Source organism: Homo sapiens, chromosome 12, assembly GCF_000001405.40.
Source record: "Homo sapiens chromosome 12, GRCh38.p14 Primary Assembly".
In the NCBI taxonomy this organism is placed as follows: domain Eukaryota; kingdom Metazoa; phylum Chordata; class Mammalia; order Primates; family Hominidae; genus Homo; species Homo sapiens.
Window position 1 is genome coordinate 110,181,376 of NC_000012.12, and position 22,347 is coordinate 110,203,722.

Sequence of the window (22,347 nt, forward strand, 5' to 3'; positions counted from 1 at the left end):
TCTTTGACCTTTTGGTCATGGCTTAAAATCCAATATTTGGGGGATTTTTCTAGTTACCTTTCTATTATGAATTTCCAGGTTATTTCCATTGTGACCAGAGAGCACACTCTGATTTCAGTCCTGTGAAATTTGTAGTCTTGCATTATGGCCCAGCATACGGTCTGTTTTGGTAATTGTTTCATGTGCAGTGAAGAGAATGTATATTCTGCAGTTGTTGGGAATAGTATTCTAAATATGTCAATTCAGTCAGTATGTTAGCCATGATATTCACATCTTCCATATCCCTGTTGATTTTTTGTCTGCCTGTTCCATCAGTTACTGAGAGAAGTGTGTTAAAAATCTCTAACTATAATTATGGCTTTGTTGCTTTTTTTAGTTCCATCAGTTTTTGCTTCATATTTTTTTCTTAAGTTGGGTCCCTAGAAGCAGAGCTCGAGAAGGGAATTCTTTGTGCTAGTGATTTATTGAGGGAGTACCTTCAGAAGGAGGGGAGTGAGGGAAGCAGATGAGGCAGCAGAAAAAAGCCAAGCAAGAAAAGGACATGGTCTCAACTGGAGCTGGCTTCATTCTGATCCCATGATCAACTTTGGAACAAATTGCACTGGAGTTGATTCCATCTTGATGCAAGGGGGCTGGCCTTTTGTACCCCATGGCAGTCAGTCATTTGGCTGTGGTCAAGTGTAACCTCTTAGGTGAGACACCTCCCATTTCGCTGAGGGCACTCTCTGGAGAAAGGGGTAACTATGAGCTATTTAGCAGTCAACATTCATAACAGTTTGCAAATGAGGTCTGAGTGGGGCACCAGCAACATCTACTACAGTTCACCCCTTGCACTAGTAGGATCTACTTGTTTGTCACATTAAATTTACTCCACCCAGCTATAGCTTCTATAGGATTCTAGTTGGTCGCAATTTCTAGGAAAACTTATAGGAGAAAGATTAGTGGGACAAATGGAAACTCTCATTGCTACATTTGGTTCCAAGGACATAACTGATATTCAACATCTCCTTCCTTTACTATCCATTCTAGAGTTCCCTCACCTCAGCTAGTACCTCCTCTGGTTTAGATGACTTACTTGGTGGGATGACCCAGTTCCTCATCCTTGAGAAGTGTGAGACTCTAGTAATCATGCCCTTACCAGGCCATGGCTGCTATACTTCCCCATTTACAGTTAAAACTGGGCATGGGAGTACCAAGATATGCCCTAATGGATCATCTGAGTCCTAAATATATTTCTTTCTGTCCCTGTTATATAGCAGCATCTATATAGCCTTATGATACCCTGCTTTCTTTGCCTGCTGATCTATTGACATGAGAAGCTCAAGTGACCAGATGGTAGTCAGAACATTAAGTGTCAAGGGCCTCTTAATGTGCCTTCTGATGGAAGCATGCCATCAGAATATCTCTGGCAACCAGAGTATCTATACCCACAGAGCCTACAGTTGTCTGGAAGGGAAGCATAATTCCCTAAAGTGGATCACTGGGGATCATGGTTCGTGGTGACACCTATACTTTCATCTCATGGTTCTGAGACCTATGCTTTCTATCGGGAACATAGCACCATATCATGGGCATCGGTTTAAGGTGTACACCCCATCCTAAAGGTAGAACTCATTTTCATAGGCCATCCAGTTCCAACTGGGGCCTTACGTTTAAGACACTGTTCCACTATTCTGTCAGGCCATCAGCTTTCCAGATAGTGTAGTATGTGGTAAAATTACTGAATTATATGGTCATACGAATGCTATCATACTTCCTTTGCTGTAAAGTGTGTCCCTTGGTTTGAGGTGATATTATGTGAGATTCCACATCAGTAGACTGAATGCTCTTAGCCCTTGGATAGTAGTGCTGGCTGAAGTACAATGGGCAAGAAAGGCAAACCTATACTCAGAATATGGATCAGTCCCATTAAGGATGAAATGTCACCTTTTTCAGGGCAGAAAGGGTCCGATGTTATTAAATTGCCACAAAATAGGGGGTTGGTTTCCTCAAGGGATGATTCCTTACCCAGAGCTCAGGAATGGTCTCTGTTGCTGGCAGGTCAGACGTTTGATATTGGCAGCAGCTAGATGAGCATTGATGAGAGAGAGCCCATGCTATTTGGCTCATACGTAACTTCCATCTCTACCAACAAAGCCATTCTGTTTGTGAGTCCATTGTTTAAGCACTGTGTGGGCCAATGTCAGAGGCTGGCTGACATCTGCTGGCCAAATCATCCTTTCCACTTGGTTGTTCAGTGCATCTTCTGCAGTGGACATTTTCCGGTTTCCATGTAATGAAAAGATCATTATACTTAGTGCCTACTCCCATAGGTTCAAACACATGCCTCTTTCCTAGACCTCCTTGTCCTTGCTGTCTTGCATCTTCCAGGGCCTTGACCAACAAGCTGAGCCATTTGCCACTGCCCAGAGGATACAGGATAATCTGGGGATTCAAGGTTCTCAAGTGGGTCTATCCAGATACCCCCATCCCAGACTCAGCACCCTTTTTCTTCTCTGTCAGGGCCCTGACTTTGGCATAGAATATTTGCCTAGACTAAGAATTCAACTTTCTCTGGAGTTTTGCCAGTCTTAAAATTAGTCCTGTGCCTGGTTTTCAGCTCCCTCTGCACTTTAGCCAGGGGAAATGAGAGTTTCTTTAAAGCCCTTAAGGAGGTTCTCTAACTTGATCACTTTGCTTTAAATTACAAATTAGGCTAGGCATGGTGGCTCACGCCTGTAATCCCAGCACTTTGGGAGGCCGAGGCGGGTGGATCACGAGGTCAGGAGATCGAGACCATCTTGGCTAACACGGTGAAACCCTGTATTTACTAAAAATGCAAAAAATTATCCGGGCGTGGTGGCGGGCACCTGTAGTCCCAGCCACTCGGGAGGCTGAGGCAGGAGAATGGCGTGAACCCCGGAGGCAGAGCTTGCAGTGAGCCGAGATCATGCCACTGGACTCCAGCCTGGGTGACAGAGCGAGACTCCATCTCAAAAAAAATAAATAAATAAATTACAAATTAATGGATTTGAGCCTGTTATTTTATCTCTTCAACCATCAGTGGAGTTTAGTGATAGCCACCCCAGTTCCATAGTCCTTATAGTTACTATTTCTCCTCAAATGCCAGAAACATTACACCGTCTAGTGCATCTTTGTATCAGTTCAGATCCTCCAAGAAGCAGACACTGAGATGGGATTACATGTACAAAAGATTTATTGAAGGACATACTTATGAAGGGTAAAGGGAAGGGAGCAGGAGGAGGCAGGGAAAGCCTTCAGGCTCTGATACAGGTCTGACACCTGTGAAAGGAAAGGGCAAAGGAAGATTGGGTAGAAATAGCCTCAAACTTCAACACAACTCTGAGAAAGTTTTGGTCAGGCTGATGGAGAGTTCCTGAGCCAGTCACCTATTAGAGGAGTCCCTTGTCAGGCAGGACTGGGCCAACACTAGTACTACTGCTGTACTCAGTCATTGGCTAAGAGCAGCTCCAGGGAAGCATAGCGTTGGTGCAAACATGATGATGGACCCAGAGGGGCAGCAGCTATGGATATCAGTCAGCTCTGTTCCTCTCAGCCAACTCTCTTGAAAGCAATCTGAGCCATAAATTTTGTTGGCCACCACAATCCCCATCCACCTGTATTCTTCCCCAATTCACCACAAGTGAAAGTCTTATTAATTGCACTGCTGCAACATGCCTGGGACTGTCAGTACTCTACCTGCCACAGTAATAGAGTCCTTAGTTCCATTTAGCCAGTGAGTGATTGCACTCTAGTGCTTATGCCAGAGATTATGATATACACCCTTGACTGATTACAGTCTTCACTAAATTTTTTTTTCTTTTTTTTGAGACAGAGTCTCTCTCTGTTGCCCAAGCTGGAGTGCAGTGGCACGATCTCAGCTCACAGCAACCTCCGCCCCCTAGGTTCAAGTGATTCTCCCGCCTCAGCCTCCCAAGTAGCTGGGACTACAGGAGTGTGCCACTATGCCCAACTATTTTTTTGTATTTTTTTTTTAGTAGAGACGGGGTTTCACCATGTTAGCCAGGATGGTCTCAATCTCCCGACCTCGTGATCTGCCCACCTCGGCCTCCCAAAGTGCTGGGATTACAGGTGTGAGCCACTGCACCCAGCCAGTCTTCACTAAATTTTTACTATTGCCGTGTCCTGGGCAATGCAAGAACCTAAAACACTTTAACTTTGTTTACCTCCTTCCCATATTTAGTGCTATTGTTGATAATATTTTTTTAATTCTAAATATAATTTTCTTGAGAAGGGGTCTTGTTCTGTTGCCCAGGCTGGAATGTAATGGTACAGTCAGAGCTCACTGCAGCCTCAACCTCCTGGGCTCAAGTGATTCTCCCAAGTACCTGGGACTACAGGCGTGCACTACCACACCCAGCTAATTTTTATGTGTATTTTTTTTTCAGACATGGGGTCTCACTATGTTGTCCAGGCTGGCCTCAAACTCAGGGGCTCAGGCAATCCTCCTACCTCAGCCTCCCAAAATGCTAGGATTACAGGTGTGAGCCACTGTGCTGGGGCCTAGATAGATTTAAATCGTACATGATATTATGTTCAATATTATTCTAGATTATCTACCTGTTTACTCTTTTCATGGTTCTTCTTTTCTTCCTTCATCATTGTTCTTCTATTGGTATCTGTCTAATGAGCTCACCTTAAGTATTTTATTTAGTTCAGGTCTGCTTAAATCTTCTCAGTTTTTGTTTTTCTTAAGACACCTGTATTTTACCTTCATTTTGAAGCACATTTTTACTGAATGTAGAATTTTTGGTTGGCAGCTATTTTCTTTCGGCACTTTAAAGATTTAATTCCATTGTCTTCTGACTTCCATTATTTATTTCATAACATCAACTGTACATCTTGTTTGTTTGTTTGTTTGTTTGTTTGTTTGTTTGTTTTAAGGTAGACTGTTATTCTCTGGTTTGTAAGATCTTCTATCTGTGTTTGGTTGTTCAGTGGTTTTACTATGACTTTTCTAGGTGTGATTTTCTTTTTTATTCACCTGGCTTAAGGTCTGTAAAGCTTCTTGAATATGTGGCTTTATGTCTTTGTTCATTTTTGAAAAGTTCTCAGCCAATGTTTATTTATTTATTATGTCTTTCTTTCCTTTCTTTCTTTCTTTTTTTATTTGTTTGTTTTTGTTTTGTTTTTTTGAGACAGGGTCTCACTCTGTTGCCCAGGCTGGAGTGCAGTGGTGTGATCTCGGCTCATTGCAGCCTCTACTTCCTGGGCTCAGGCGATTCTCCCACCTCAGCCTCCTAAGCAGCTGGGACCACAGGCCCGAGCCACCATGCTCAGCCATTTTGTGTGTGTGTGTATTTTTGGTAGTTTTTTTAGACACAGGGTTTTGCCATGATGCCCAGGCTGGTCTTGAACTCCTGGGTCCAAACGATCCACCTGCCTTGCCTCCCAAGGCTGGGCTTACAGGCATGAGCCACCACGCCCAGCCCAGTATTTCTTCAATTATTACTACAATCTCATTCTGTCCTCTTTTACTTTAACTCCAACTACATGCATGTTGGACATTTTCACCACTTTCCATGTATTTCTTATGGGCTTTGTGTTTTTCTTTTTCTTTTTTTCATTTTCTATTATTTTTTTCCTCTCTGTGATTCAATCTGTATTTTTTTCTACTGTGCTATTTTTCCAGTTGATTAATCTTCTTCTTTTTTGTGTGTCTAGTCTGTTATTTAATTCATTTGTTGAATTCTTAATATCAGTTATTGTATTTCTCAGTTTTAGAATTTCCATATGATTCAATTTTATAGATTGCAGTTATTTGTAACATTCTTCAACTTTTTGTTTATTTTCTTGAATATATTAATCTCAGCTATTTTAAAGTTCATGTCTGAAATTTATTTGAGCATCTATTCCTGTTGTTTTTGTTTTTGTTTTTGTTTTTTGAGACAGAGTCTCACTCTGTCACCCAGGCTAGAGTGCAGTGATGTGATCTTGGCTCACTGCAGCCTCCACCTCCTGGGTTCAAGTGATTCTCCCACCTCAGCCTCCTGAGTAGCTGGGACTACAGGCACCCACCACCACACCCGGCTAATTTTTTGTATTTTTAGTAAAGACAGAATTTCACCATGTTGGCCAGGCTGGTCTTGAACTCCTGACTTCAAGTGATCTGCCCTTCTCGGCCTCCCAAAGTGATGGGATTACATGCATAAGCTACTGTTCCTGGCCATGTATTTTTTTCTCTTGATTTTCATTCATTTGGGCCTATTACTTTGCTTACTTGGTAATTTTTTATTGAATGTTGGGTGTAAAGTGTCATTAAATTTTAGAAGCTCTGACTATATTTGTTTTTCTATAAGGAGGATTTAATTTTTTTCTAGAAAGTTACCTTGATCAAGTTGAGGGTAGCTTTTTTGTTTTGTTTTGTTTTTTGTTTTTCTTAAGCTGGTATTTCTCCAGTTTTCTCTTAATCCAAAGATATAGTTCTCGTACCTGTGGTAGAGACTTTAGGAAGTGGTCCTTACTCCAAGGATGTAGGTCTTACTGCTAGGTTATAGACCTTCTAAGGAGTAGACCTTCTAGGTTTTCAGCTGATAATGTGAGGCATTTACCAAAGCCTGTGCACCCTGGAAAGTCCTGAATTCCTACCTTTATCTCCCTAGTACTGTGAGACTGCTACAATCTTTGCTCAGCTCTTTAATAACCTATCTGCTCGGCCGGGCGCGGTGGCTCACGCCTGTAATCCCAACACTTTGGGAGGCTGAGGCGGGTGGATCACGAGGTCAGGAGATCAAGAACATCCTGGCTAACACAGTGAAACCCTGTCTCTACTAAAAATACAAAAAAGTCGCTGGGCATGGTGGTGGGTGCCGGGAATCCCAGCTGCTCGGGAGGCTGAGGCAGGAGAATGGCATGAACCTGGGAGGCGGAGGTTGCAGTGAGCCGAGATCGTGCCACTGCACTCCAGCCTGAGCGACAGAGCAAGACTCCGTCTCAAAAAAAAAAAATTAAAAAAAAAAATAACCCATCTGCTGATTTCCGCTTGGTTTTTGAGAGCCTTACTCTGCTTGTGCATATCCTAAGATTTGGTAATGCCTAAAGAGGAAAATGCATACAGAATCTGGGGCTAATTCTCTGTAGTTCCCTCTACCCCTTTAGGTCCCAGTCCTATTGACAGGCCAGAATCTTAACTCTTCTTCCATTCTGTCTTTCCTTGTCTTTCTTTCCTTTTGGTTCTTTCATTCTTTTTTGAACTCTCTTCAATACAGTTTTCGCACTTACCATTCCACTAAAATGTCTTTTGTCAGGCTGGGCACGGTGGCTCACGCCTGTAATCCCAGCACTTTGAGAAGCCAAGGTGGGTGGATCATGAGGTCAGGAGATCAAGACCATCCTGGCTAACATAGTGAAACCCTATCTCTACTAAAAATACAAAAAAAAAAAAAAATTAGGCATAGTGGCACGCGCCTGTAATCCCAGCTACTTGGGAGGCTGAGGCAGGAGAATCGCTTGAACCCGGGAGTCGGAGGTTGCAGTGAGCCAAGATCGCACCACTGCACTCCACCCTGGGTGACAGAGCAAGACTCCGTCTCAAAAAAAAAAAAAAGTCTTTCGTCAGGTCACCAGTACCTTCACATTGCCAAATCCAATGATTAATTATTAGTCCTTTCCTTACTTGACCTAGTAGCAGCATTTAGCATAGTTGATCATTCCATCTTCCTGTAAAACTTCTTCTTCTGTCTTCTAAGACACTACACTTTCCTGGTTTTTCTTCCTAACTAACACTCCTATTCCTATTCTATTGCTGATTTCTTATCATTTCTTTAAAGTTTAAATGTTGGGGTTCCCTAGGCTTAGCCCTTGGATCTGCTTTCTATCTTCACTTCCTTGGTGATCTTATCCTGTCTCATGGTTGTAAAGGCCCCCTCTTATATTGTGACAACTCACCAATTTATATCTCCAGCCTAGATTTCTCCTCTAATTCTAGTCCTTTTTAAAATTTTATTTATTTATTTATTTATTTATTTTTTGAGACAGAGTCTCACTCTTTTGCCCAGACCGGAGTGCAGTGGTGCAGTCTCGGCTCACTGCAAGCTCCACCTCCCGGGTTCAAGTGATTCTCCTGCCTCAGCCTCCCAAGTAGCTGGGATTACAGGTGCCCACCAACACATCTGGCTAATTTTTGTATTTTTAGTAGAGACAAGGTTTCGCCATGTTGGCCAGTCTGGTCTCAAACTCCTGACCTTAGGGGATCCACCTGCCTCAGCCTCCCAAAGTAGTGGGATTACAGGCGCGAGCCACCACACCTGGCCTAATTCCAGTCTTACACATATAACATCTTGACCTTTCCATTTGGATATCTAATATATATTTCAAATTTTTAACATGTCCAAAAATAAACTTCTGATCTGCACCACCTCCTTAAACTAGTCTTCCCCATTCTTCTTCCTCTCAACAAATGGAAACTTCATCCTGTTAGTCTCTCAAGTCAGAAACCTTGAACTCATTCTTTATCCTTTACTTGCGTTCACATCCCTACATCTAATTTGTCGCATTATCTTGTTTGATCTGCCTTCAAAATATACACAGAACCATTTCTCATTATTTCTGTCACCACCACCCTGATTCATGCTACCATTTTCTTTAACTTGAACTATTGAGACGGTCTTCTAATTGGCCTCCCTGCTCCTACCTAGCCTGATCTCAGCACAGATGTTAAAGTGATCATTTTAAAATTGCCTTAACTCTGAACCTTTCAACAGCTGCCTATCTCATTTTAAAGAAAACAAAGCTCTTTCATCAGCTTAAAAATAAGATAACAATACAACTTATTATCTAAAGTAGGATACTTCTTGAGAGTGCAAGGGACAATAGATGTACACTGAGACCTAGCAAACCAGCTGAACCCCATGTAACCCCTCCTTCACCCCCACCTTATTCTCACTGCACCTCCTTACTGTTTCTTGAACTGGTCAAGTTTGCTCCCAGCTTTTGCACTTGCTGATTCCCTCACTTCCTACGGGGCTTTGCTCAGATGTCATCTTCTCAGGATCATCTTCTCTGGATCATCTTCTCTAACCACCTTCTGGTTATACTATATTTATTTATTTACTTATTTACATATTGCTTATTTATTCCCACTAGTAGTAAGCTCTGTGAGGGAAGGGATTTTTTTTTTCCTGTTCTATTCACTGCCGTATACCTGGTGCCTAGAACTGTGATTGGCACATTTACATATATAATAAATATTGGATGAGTGAACATATCATTTGAGAATTCATTCTTTCATCAAATGTTTATTGAATGTACCCTATGTTTTAGGTTCTGTGCTGAGTACATAACATTATTATAAAGTCTACGATTAGAAATACTTCCTATGTACCTGAAGATACCATAGGTTTATAATATACAAAGGCATGTAATTGAATGAAATAATAATTGAAGTCAATGAAGATTGTCCTTTAGGATTCTAAACTAATTAATTCTATTTACAATTTTTTGTTATGTATGAAATTTGTACATTTCTTATGGGAGCCAGCAAGATTTTGACATGTTTTGTGGCCTTTTTATTTTTTACTTATAGCAAACTATGGAGGAGAAAAAGGGTATATCTGGATATAGTTACACCCAAGAAGAGCTAGAAAGAGTATCTGCACTGAAGAGTGAAGTTGATGAAATGAAAGGACGAACATTGGATGATATGTCTGAAATGGTGATGATACTTTTATTTAAATTTTCTTTTATTGTGTAGCTAGAAGGCAGGTGTTTTGTGTTAGTTTTATTTTCAGTGAAACATTCACCTGTTAATTTCTGCACATTACATTCTTTCATCTTTTTTTTTTTTTTCTTTTTGAGGCAGAGTCTCACTCTATTGCCCAGGCTAGAGTGCAGTGGCATGAATTTGGCTCACTGTAACATCCACCTCTGGGGTTCAAGTGATTCTCATGCCTCAGCCTCCCAAGTAGCTGGGACTACAGGTGTGTGCCACCATGCCCGGCTAATTTTTGTATTTTTAGTAGAGACAGGGTTTCACCATGTTGGGCAGGCTGGTCTCTACCTCCCGACCTCAAGTGATCCACCTGCCTCAGCCTCCCAAAGTGCTGGGATTACAGGCGTGAGCCACTACACCCGGTCTCATCTGTCTTTATCAATCTCTTTTGAATTTTTTTCATTCTAGTAAGGTTGTTCAAATTCTAATAGTTTATGCATTTTCTGTTTTTTTAATGTGCAAAAGTTATATAACATTAAAGAAATATTTAAGAAGAAAAATAAATTTTCCCAGGTCATACCACCCTAATAGAATTATTTCATTGTTGTGTATGTTCTTAGAATCTTTCCATTTTCAGGACTTGTATTCAATCAGATTGCACTAGTACACTTTCACCAGGCATTAAAATGTTGATATCTTATATTACTTGTTGGTAAATAGCCGCCCCAAACCCTCAGAGTACCCCCCTCCAGTTGTCTTGTCCACATTGGCCATTCCCCCAGAACCCTCTGGATCTCATCACAATCTAACTCCTAAAAAGGTTAGCATGTAAGACCCTGTTCAGGCCAGGCACGGTGGCTCACACCTGTAATCCCAGCACTTTGGGAGGCCGAGGCGGGAGGATCACTTGAGGTCAGGAGTTCGAGACCAGCCTGGCCAACATGGTGAAATCCCGTCTCTACTAAAAATACAAAAATCAGCCGGGCGTGGTGTCGCACTCCTGTAGTTCCAGCTTCTCAGGAGGCTGAGGCATGAGAATCACTTTAACCTGGGAAGCAGAGGTTGCAGTGAGCTGAGATCACACCATTGCACTTCAGCCTGGGCAACCAAGCAAGACTCTGTCTCAAAAAAAAAAAAAAAGACCCCATTCATCTCTCTGATTGGTGTCCATTCTGATGGATCATTACTTATGCTATTTGGACTATACTGTAGTATTTTGAATATCACTCCATCTATATTTATGTATATTTTATATGCCTACATAAATAATACATCATGATTATAGTTGTATAGGGCAATTTTTTAATATATTTATTCAATGTTAAATTATAAAGATTTTCCCGTAATGGTTTACAGTCTTGAGAACTGACGTTTTGAATGATTAAATAGTATAGTATTCCATCTTGCTGAGGAATCAGGATTTTCTAAAGCACTTCTCTGTTGTTTGGGACTGAAGTAATTTGCAGTTTTTTGCTCTTACATTTAACACTGAAATTAATATCTTTATGCATGTAGTATTTTTCTTTTTTTGAATTCTTTTTTAGGTGTTATATTTTTTGTTCAAATAACAGGTGAAAAAACTGTATTCATTGGTATCTGAAAAGAAGTCAGCTCTTGCCTCAGTTATAAAAGAGCTACGACAGTTGCGTCAAAAATATCAAGTAAGTTTTTGATTTTATCAAGTAATTTGATTTTATGATACTTTTAGTATTCTATCTTATTCACATGTGCTAGTTAGAACCCTGGATATTTTACTTGGGTAATATAGAAAACAAATTATCATTATTACGTTATTGATACAATTCTTCAAAAGAGAATTAAAACATGACATACAGGCCAGGTGTGGTGGCTTATGCCTGTAATCCCAGCACTTTGGGAGGTTGAGACAGGAGGATGATCACTTGAGCCCAGGAATTCGAGACCAGCCTGTCTAACAACAAGACCTTGTCTCTACAAAAAATAAAAAAATTAGCTGAGCTTGGTGGCATGCACCTGTAGCCCCAGATTCTCGGGATGCTGAGGTGGGAGGATTGCTTGAACCCAGAAGGTCAGGATTGCAGTGAGCCATGATCATGCCACTGTACTCCAGCTTGGGTGACAGAGTGAGACCCTGTCTCCCACCCCTCCCCCCAAAAATGACTTGCAAGGGTTTTTGTTTAATTTATGCTGCTTATTTAGCCATAAATAATTGGAGGCAGAGGAGATGGAGAAAAAGCAGTTTAAGCTGAAATGCACAAATTCAGCCAGAGGAGATTTTTTCTTTAAATCATATGGACCTTAAAGCTATAAATATGAAGTCACATTCTTCTGTGTCCAGGTAAAAGCTCAAAGTCTGCCCACAAGTGGTGACAAGTTAACTTTAGATTAATGAACTTGCACTGCTAGGAGGCACGGTGCACAGCAAACTATGATAGATTATGAGAAGTGATGAAATACCATTACTTGGAAACTAGTTCTAACCACTGCTTTAAAGATAAATTGTCAGAAGGTAAATGCCCTCTACAAATCCAGATCAGACAGCCTCCACCATTTGACATTCACTGTTCTCTATTTTTAATACTATATTTTTAACTTGTTTAACTATATTTAATACTTGAAACTACAAAAATACATTATGACACTTTCAAAGAGCAGGAATACTTAAAAATACGTAACTTACTTTAATGGACAACCCTGAACTATTAGGAAATTTTACAGGGAAGTGTTAATATATTTCCTTTGTGTGATACTTGCATTTTTTTCTAAATTTGAATATTAACAGCTGTTTGAATATTAGAGCATCACAACTGGATTAGTCTTTTCTCTCATTGCTGTAAATAAATACCTGAGACTAAGTAATTTCTAAAGAAAAAAGTCTTAATTGGCTCATGGTTCTACAGGCTATACAGGAAGCATGATGCAGGCATCTACTCACCTTCTAGGGAGGCCTCAGGAAGCTTACAATCATGGCAGAAGGCAAAGAGAGAGCAGGCATATCACATGGCTAGAGCAGCAAGGGGGTGGGAGGAGGGGCCTCACACTTTTAAACAACGAGATCTTATGAGAACTCACTCACTATCATGAAAACAGCACCAAGAGAATGGTGCTAAACCGTTCATGAGAATTTCACCCCCACGATCCAATCACCTCCCACCAGGCCCCACCTCCAACATTGGAGGTAACAGTTTGACGTGAGATTTGGGCAGGGACAGAGATCCAAACCATATCAACAATGAAAGATGTCTAACTTATATTTATCTAGATCTATTATAGTCATCTAGAATTAGAATAGCATTTTGAAAAGTTTTATGTTTATTTTCTTAGGAGCAGTTCTATAAATTATATGTAATTAAATGGAATAATTATATATAATTGCTTATATGTAGGAAAAAACTGAAATATTCATTTTTTTTTTATTCATTTAATTTTTTTAAGTAGAGATGGGGTCTGCTGTTGCCAGGCTAGTCTCGAACTCCTGGGCTCAAGCAGTCCTCCCACCTCAGGCTTCCAAAATGCTGGGATTATAGGCGTGAGCCACCACACCCACCCTGTTTATATTTTAGAGTATGCAATCTGATAATTTTTATTTTCAATGAAATATCTATTATTTATTGATTACTTTTTCATATAAAAGTAAAATCATGTTCTTAGCAATAATTAAAGCTATACAGAGTTATTTAAGGAAAAGAATAAAAATTATTTCTTTCAGCATCCCCAGCACATGACTTAACAGCTCCATATGTATTTTCCAGAAATTTTCTGATAATTAATGAACAGATAATTATTTAATAACTACCTTAAATTTGTTCTCCACACTTCTGTTCTACTTTGTAAAAACAAAAGCTTTTTTCAGGACGTGGGAGGACTGAAATCAACCGTGACTGATACCAAGATCAAATTATCTGCTTTCTTTTCTTTTAACATTTGGTTGCTGTACTTTTTTTGTCCACCTTATACTTTCCACTTTTAAAAAAAGTATTTTGTTTCTGATGTGTCTCTTGAATAGATCTTGAATTAGGTTTTGCTGTGTCATATCATCTGAAAGGTTTATTTTAATAGGTAAATTTATATATTTATTAATATGCAGATACATTTGGTTTGGGTGGTATTACTTTATGTTTGGCTTTCAATTTTAAAGCCTATAAAAAATCTCCTTCTCCTCCTTTTTCCCCTCCTCACTCATCCCCTGACTTCTCTCCCTCATGTGTGTGTGTTCTGGCTTATGGTTTAGTTTTAGCCTTTTAACTCTACTATTCATTATTTATTTCTTTAGATGGCATCTATTAATCCCCACTGTGAGAAGTCATGAAATTGATATATTTCTTGTTCCTCCTCCCTTCCTTCCCTCTCCTCTAGCACCTGATTTTAGTAGATCGTATTGTCTTAGTGTTTGCCGTTATACCTTGAATACACTTATAGTATGACTTGTTAGCTTTAAATGATATTCTTTGACATTCCCCCACCCACCTCTAGCAATTAAAAAAATGAGGAAACCAGCTTACTTACTCTGCCTTCCACCTTCTTTTCCCTTTCTTCTTCCTGAAGGCTTTGTTGTATCATTTCTATCTTGTCACTGCATATAACATTTACATTCTCCTCTGTTACCCTACTTCTCGCTTTGGTTTTCAGCTCTAGACCTGTAATTATTAGATCCAGCGCTCATTACCAATTCACTGACTGCCCTTTGTCTCACTTCTCTTTTGATTGCCTGGAACTTGTCCTCTAGTTGAGTCCTCCAAAAAGACTCATAAGAACAATATTCCCTGATGAGTTCTTGCATGTTCTAGTTTATTGCCTAAACATTTCAACAGCCGTTTGACTATTAGATCATGCTTTCTTTCCTTGAGGATTTTTTTTAAGTGTAGCTCGACAATCTTCTAGGGTTAAATGTAGCTATGGAGAGATCTGAGGCCAACTTAATTTTTTTGGTAACTCGATCTTGAAAAGAATGTCTATTTTCCAGTTGTTGAGTACAGGGTTCTCCCTGTGTTCATCAGATCAGGCTTATAAAAGCGGTGTTCTAAACTTCCTAGTGAATGGGTAAAATGTTTCACGGAAACTTTTTCAGATGAAAAGAGTTATGTAGATGGATGGTGGTAATGGTTGCCCAACATTATGAATGTGCTTAATGCCAACTGAATTGCACACTTAAAAAATGGTTAAAATGGCAAATTTTGTTATGTGTATTTTATTACAGCAAAAAACCAAGACAGACCAGGTGTGGTGGTTCATGCCTGTAATCCTAGCACTTTGGGAGGCGAAGGCGGGTGGATCACTTGAGGTCAGGAGTTCGAGACTAGCCTGGCCAACATGGCGAAACTCTGTCTCTACCAAAAAATACAAAAATTAGCCAGCTATGGTGGCACACACCTGTAGTCCCAGCTACTCGGGAGGCTGAGGTGGCAGAATCGCTTGAACCTGGGAGGCGGAGGTTGCAGTGAGCTGAGATTATGCCACTGTGCTCCATCCTGGGTGACAGAGCGAGACTCCGTCTCAAAAAAAGAGAAAACAAACAAAATCTTCCTGGTTAAAAAACAAAAACCAGCCCAGGGTAATAGCACATGCTTATAGTCCTAGCTACTCAGGGGGCCAAGGCAAGAGGATGACTTGAGCCTAGGAGTTCAAGACCAGCCTGCACAACACAGTGAAACCTTGTCTTTAAAAAAAGAAAGAAGGAAAAAAACTTCCCGTTGAATTTTATGTTCTGTCTTTATTTTTAAACTTTATTCCTTATTATGGTACGTAATGGTTTTTGCCTTAGAGTATTATTTTGTCTACTATTAAAGCATATATGCCAGCTTTCTTATGATTAGTATTGCTTCTTATTTCTGTTTGCTTTCAGCTTCCTATGTCCTTATTTTTGTCTTATGTATGTCTCATAAATAGCATGTAGGGCCAGGCAGCAGTTGCTCATGACTGTAATCCTAGCACTTTGGGAGGCTGAGTTAGGAGACTCTTGAGCCCAGGATTTCAATACCAGCCTCGGCAACATAGCAAGACTCCATCTCTACAAAAAGTAAAAAAATTAGCTGAGCATGGGAGCACACATCTATAGTCTTAGCTATTGGGAGGCTGAGGCAGAAGGATAGCTGGAGCCCAGGAGTTCGAGGTTGCAGTGAGACCTGATAGCACCACTGCATCCAGCCTGGGTGAAAGAGTAAGACCTGCACTCTAGGTAGATAGATAGATAGGTGAGTGGGTAGATAAGTAGATAGGTAGGTAGGTAGATAGATAGATAGATAGATAGATAGATAGATAGATAGATAGATGTATTTTGTGTGGGTGTAGTTTCTTACATCCAGTTTGAGAATCTGTCTTTTAAGTGGTAAGTTTAATCTCATTTATGTTTACTCTAATTTTTGAAGCATTTGAATTTTTTTCTATTTTGTACATCCTGTTATTTACTGTGTTTTCTCTTTGCTTTTTTTTTTTAACCATCCATTGTACCAATCCTGTTTTCTTTTCTCTTTTTTCCCTTTTTTCTGTTTTTTTATCTTCTATTCTGATATTATTTATTCTTAGGTTTTTATCATATATATATATATATATATATATATATACCTCACTTAACAAAGTCTAAAGTTGTTAACATCTCCACAATACAGGAACCTTAGAATAATTTGACACCCTCTTCTACCTTACATGTGCGTTGTTATCCTCCGGCATTTTTTTTATTTATTTGTTTGTTTTGTTTATTTATTTATTGAGATGGAGTTTCACTCTTGTTGCCCAGGCTGGAGTGCAATGGCGCAACCTTGGCTCACCGCAACTTCCGCCTCCTGGGTTCAAGCAATTCTCCTGCCTCAGCCTCCCGAGTACCTGAGATTACAGGCATGCACCACCACACCCGGCTAATTTTGTATTTTTAGTAGAGATGGGGTTTCTCCATGTTGGTCAGGCTGGTCTCGAACTCCTGACCTTAGGTGATCCGCCCGCCTCAGCCTCCCAAAGTACTGGGATTACAGGCATGAGCCACCGTGCCCAGCCCTTATTTCTTTATTTGTACATCTCTAAAAGTAGTTGTTATGGTGGTTGTTAGTATTATAATTACAACTTTATATAATCATTTCCTGTTTAGATTTACCTATATATTTAGCAGTTTTCACCATCACTGCTTGTATTTTACTCCTTATTTCTGGATTCAGTTTTCTTTTTCCTGAAATACAATTTCCTTGTTTTGTGAGTGTGCGCGTATGTGTGTGTTTAGTGTTCGCAGTAAAGAATCATTACAATAAGTAAGCCATCTTTTTTTTTTCTTCTTTTAAATAATGGCTTGGTCAGAAAAAAAAAATTTTCATGCTTTCTTTTATTTTGTTGAAGGGTCGGCTATCAGTTTATCATTTATTTTTAGGTAATATCTTCCCTATAACTGGTTTTCATATTTTTATCTTTTTCTTTGGTGTTGTCCAGATTTCAGTACCATGTTTTGAGTGTATATTTAGTTTTATTTACTTTTCTGAATTTGTGTTTTGTGTCTTCCATGAATTCTGGAAAAAGTCTACATAATACTTTCAGATATTTTCTCTCCCATTTTTTGCGGTCTGTTTTCCAGCTACTCATACTAGAGATATGTTAGAGGTATTTATTCTGTTCCCTGTTACTTCATCTCACTTTCATATTTTTGTCTCTCTGTGTTGAATTCTAGATAATTTCTTCAGCTCTGTGTTTTAGTTCATTCTTTTATTTCCTCAGAGGTGTCTAATATTGTTTATTTCATCCACTTAATTTTTAATTTCAATGACTGTCTTTTTCATTTTTATTTTTTCTCACTTTTTCTTTCTTTCTTTCTTTTTTTTTTTTTCTTGAGACAGAGTCTTGCTCTTCGCCCAGGCTGGAGTGCAGTGTTGCAGTCTCAGCTCACTGCAACCTCCGTGTCCCGGGTTCAAGCCATTCTTCTGCCTCAGCTTCTTGAGTAGCTGGGACTACAGGCATGCGCACCACGCCTGGCTAATTTTTGTATTTTTTGTAGGGACAGGTTTTCACCATGTTGGCCAGGATGGTCTCAAACTCCTGACCTCAAGTGATCCGGCCACCTCCGCCTCCCGAAGTGCTGGGATTATAGGCATGAGCCACCGCACCTGGCCTCACTTTTTGTAATCTTTTGTTTTCAGTTCCTCCTTTATAGTTTTTATTATTTTAAATATACTTATTTAGTTGGCTTATTTCTAGTATCCAAAGTTCCTTTAGGTATGGTCCTGTTATTTATATCTTCTGATTCTCACTCCTAATGAATTGATTTTTCCCTTACATGTTTTATACTTTGGGACTGTGAGCTTTCATTAACAGAGCTTTGTCTCTTGAATCCTGGCAGCCAGGATGGAAGGTGTACACCTCTACAGTGGTTTTTCAGTTTTTCTGTTTTAGAAATATCACAAACTTGGAGCTAATATTGAGTTAATTTCTCAGCTTGGAAGTTCCTAGACCATGTAGATAGGGTAAATTCAAACTCCAAAGCTGCCTGAGGACAGCTATGATCACTGTCACAGCTGCATAGTGATCCGTTTGACCATAAGATTTGCGACCAAAAAAAGGATTTTATCAACTATAGCACCTTCATCTCAAGAGACCAGCAGCTACCTAAGTACGTAGGCTCTGCAGCCCCTTTTCCCACTTTGGATGTGACTTTCACCTTTGAGAGCCTTGGGTGTCTGTAAGGTCACTTTGATACATAGAAGCTACATCCCCTTTCTTCCAACAATCTTTTATTCTGTACTAGTGACCCCAGCCCAGATGCAGTCCCACACAACAAAGGCAGCATACACATTACTCATCTGTGCTAACTATCCTGTTTCTAAGGAAACCGTGCAGCAGGAAACCACGGTCATGAAACCAAGGTCATTCTCGGGATGGTGTTAACCCTTTACTCACAGGTTCACAAGTTGAAAACAACTTAAGGTTTACTATGGGGTCCTCAGTTCTAACTTCCCACTCTGCATAGACCCAAGGCTTTGCATCTGCTCTGCCTGAACATTAAAATCACTGTGTTACCAAGACTGACCATTCCCAATTCCTTTCACCAAGGGTAGCCATAATGTTACCCTTTCTTTTTGGTCCTGTTAATTTCTTTTATTTCTTTGAGAGTTCAGTTCAGCTTGGGATCTGAAAGGATGTTGCTCTGTCTTACCAAGCATTTGTAGATGCAGGCATGCATCACTTAATTATGAGGATACGTTCTAAGAAATGCATAATTGAGTGATTTCATCATTGTGCAAACACCATAGAGTGTACTTACACAAACCTAGATGGTATAGCCTATTCATATCTAGGCTATATGGTAGATATATTGCTCCTAGGCTACAAACCTGTACAGCATGTGACTATACTGAATACTGTAGGCAGTTGTTACACAATGGTAAGTATTTGTGTATCTACACCCATCTAAACATAGAAAAGGTACAGTAAAATTATGGTATAAAAGATTTAAAATGGTATGCTTTATAGGGAACTTACCATGAATGGAGCTTGCAGGACTGGAAGTTTCTCCGGTTGAGTCAATGAGTGAGTGGTAAGTGAATGTGAAGGTCTAGGACATTACTGTACACTATGATAGACTTTGGAAACAGTGTACACTTAGGCTACTCTAAATTTATGTAAAATATTTTTTTAAAAAAATAAAGTAACCTTAGCTTACCGTAGCTTTCTTGGCCGGGCACGGTGGCTCACGCTTGTAATCCCAACACTTTGGGAGGCTGAGGCAGGCGGATGACGAGGTCAGGAGTTCCAGACCAGCCTGGACAACATAGTGAAACCCCATTTCTACTAAAAACACAAAAAAATTAGCTGGGTGTGGTGGCACATGGCTGTAATCCCAGCTACTTGGGAGGTTGAGGCAGGAGAATTGCTTGAACCCGGGAGGCGGAGGTTGCGGTGAGCCGAGATCCCGCCACTGCACTCCAGCCTGGGCGACAGAGCAAGACTCTGTCTTGAAAAAAATTAAAAAAAACTTTTCTTACTTTATAAACTTCTAATTAAAAAAAAAATTGACTTTTTTGTAATAACAGCTTAAAACACAAGCACATTGTATAGTGGTATGAAAATATTTTATTTCTTTATATCCTTCTTTTATATGCTTTTTTCTATTTAAAAAAATTTTTTTGGCCAGGTGCAATGACTCATGCCTGTAATCCCAGCACTTTGGGAGGCCAAGGCGAGCAGATCACCTGAAGTCAGGAGTTCAAGACCATCCTGGCCAACATGGTGAAACCTTGTCTCTACTAAAAATACGAAATTATCTGGTCATGGTGGCACATGTCTGTAGTCCCAGCTACTTGGGAAGCTGAGGCAGGAGAATCGCTTGAACCCGGGAGGCAGAGGTTGTAGTGAGCCAAGATCGTACCATTGCATTTCAGCCTGGGCGACAAGAGAAAGCTCTGTCTCCAAAAAAAAAAAAAAAGGTGAAAAATTTTTGTTTTTTGTTTTTTTTTGAGACAGGGTCTTGCTCTTGTCGCCCAGGCTGAGTGCAGTGGCACCATCATGGCTCACTGCAGCCTCAACCTCCCGGCCTCAAGCAGCTCTCTCACTTCAGCCTAAGGAGTAGCTGGGACCACAGGCACATACCACCAAGTCTGGCTAATTTTTATTTATTTATTTATTTATTTATTTTGTAGAGGTGGGGTCTTGTTATGTTGCCTGTGCTTGTCTCAAACTCCTGGGCTCAAGCGATCCACCCGCCTTGGCCTCCCACAGTGCTGGAATTACAAGATTGTGCCACCACACCCAGGCTTTTTTCACTTTTTAAACTTTTTTGTTAAAAACTAAGACACACACCTAGGCCTACACAGCGTCAGGGTAATCAATATCACTGTCTTCCACCTTGAAACATCTTGTCCCACTGAAAGGTCTTCAAGAGCAATAACACACATGAAGATGTCATCTCCTGTAACAATGCCTTCTTCTGGATGCCTCCTGAAGGACTTGCCTGAGGCTGTTTCACAGTTTATTTTTTATAAGTAAAAGCAGTACACTCTAAAATAACAATAAAAAATATAGCATAGTAAATACATAAACCAGTAACATAGTAGTTTATTATCATCAAGTATTATATACAGTACATAATTGTATTGCTATACTTCTATACAACTGACAGTAGATTGGTTTACACCAGCATCACCACAAACACATGAGTAATTTGTTGCACTATGGCATTATGATGCCTATGATATCACTAAGGTGAAAGGATTTTTTCAGCTCCATTATAATCATATGGGACTGCCATCATATATGTGGTCCGTTGTGACTGAAACATCATCCCATGCATGACTGTACTTTTAGCATTTCTAGGTGTTTGTAGCAGGAGATTTTCAAATTATCCCATTCAAAATACTACATTAGAAGAAACTTTGAAACAACTTAAAGAAAACAAAATTTAAATTTCCTCCCTGCCCCCTTGCAATAAAGAAACTGCTTAACCTGAATTCAAATTGTGATTCCACCTTTTTTTTTTTTTTGAGATGGAGTCTCACTCTGTCGCCAGGCTGGAGTGCAGTGGTGTGATCTCGGCTCACTGCAACCTCCACCTCCCAGGTTCAAGTGATTCTCCTGCCTCAGCCTCCTGAGTAGCTGGAACTACAGGCACGTGCCACCATGCCCAGCTAATTTTTTTGTATTTTTAGTAGAGATGGGGTTTTACCATGTTGGCCAGGATGGTCTCAATCTCTTGACCTCATGATCCGCCCACCTGGCCTCCCAAAGTGCTTCAATTACAGGCGTGAGCCACCATGCCCAGCAGACTCCACCTTTTCTTAGCAGTATAATCTTTGGCAAGGTACTTGTTCTCCCTGAACTTTCTGCAAGCATTATATGGTGGTATTAATATCTCTTTTGAGGTGCCGTTTTGAGATTTAGTTATTGTCAGTGGTACATTTCAAACACCCTAGAATGTTTTACGAAGTTCTTCTAATTAAGCCCCTGCCTAGGTCTTCAGCCTCCCCTCACCATTTCCCAGAAATAAACCAGCATAGGCTGGGTGCGGTGGCTCACGCTTGTAATCCCAGCACTTTGGGAGGCCGAGGTAGGTGGATCACCTGAGATCAGGAGTTCAAGACCAGCCTGACCAACATAGTGAAACCCCATCTCTACTAAAAATATAAAAATTAGCCAGGCATGGTGGCACATGCCTGTAATCCCAGCTGCTTTGGAGTCTGAGGCAGGAGAATCGCATGAACCCAGGAGGCGGAGGTTGTAGTGAGCCAAGATCGCACCATTGCACTCCAGCCTAGGCAGTAGAGTGAGACTCCGTCTCAAACAAACAAACAAACAAAAGAAATAAATAAACCAGCATAGTAAACTACTTATAAGTTTCTTAATTATTCTTGTTCTCTGTAGCTTTCAATCCTTTATACATAGTGTTCCTTTTTTTTAAATACTGTCTTCCCCTTGTTCATCTTCCACCTAACTGTTCTTACTAATCCTTCGTGATTAGCTTAGATATCAATTTCTCCAGGAAATTGTCCCCACTGATCCCCAAGCCTGGGTTAGGTTCCCGGGAGTCCTGTGTGCCTTCTGTAACACCTTGTGTTTTCCTATCATAGCTCTCAGCAGCCTGTTTACTTGTCTGAACATTACTTGAGAGGAAGAATTTTTGGCTGTTTTATTCACTATTGTCTCCCCAGCTCCTAACAAAGAACCTGGCACACAGCTCAATACATGGTAGCTATTATTATTATCAGCACCTTCATCTATCATAATTCTCAAATGTC

The 22,347-nt window shown here is 40.2% G+C and overlaps 1 protein-coding gene across 10 annotated transcripts in view, besides 1 other annotated feature; it reads left to right on the forward strand.

Annotated features, from left to right (window-relative positions):
• IFT81 (intraflagellar transport 81) overlaps positions 1–22,347 on the forward strand; it is a 94,437-nt gene that overhangs the window by 57,019 nt on the left and 15,071 nt on the right. For 9 of the 10 annotated variants that reach the window (NR_144952.2, NR_144949.2, NR_144951.2 and 6 more), the window contains 2 exons: positions 9,545–9,673; positions 11,242–11,331. Coding sequence is in view for 5 of the 10 variants with exons in the window: in XM_017019217.2 (XP_016874706.1) it covers positions 9,545–9,673; positions 11,242–11,331 (219 nt within the window). In the remaining 5 variants the exon portion in view is untranslated. Of the gene's footprint in view, positions 1–9,544; positions 9,678–11,241; positions 11,332–22,347 lie in introns of all 10 variants that reach the window. The other variant, XR_007063070.1, reaches the window with a different exon arrangement.
• Positions 4,786–4,986: a silencer, noted in NCBI's record as "peak1945 fragment used in MPRA reporter construct". NCBI's record gives its function as "represses an SCP1 promoter by STARR-seq MPRAs in K562 erythroleukemia cells {active_cell/tissue: K562}" and the evidence as "EXISTENCE:reporter gene assay evidence [ECO:0000049][PMID:32103011]".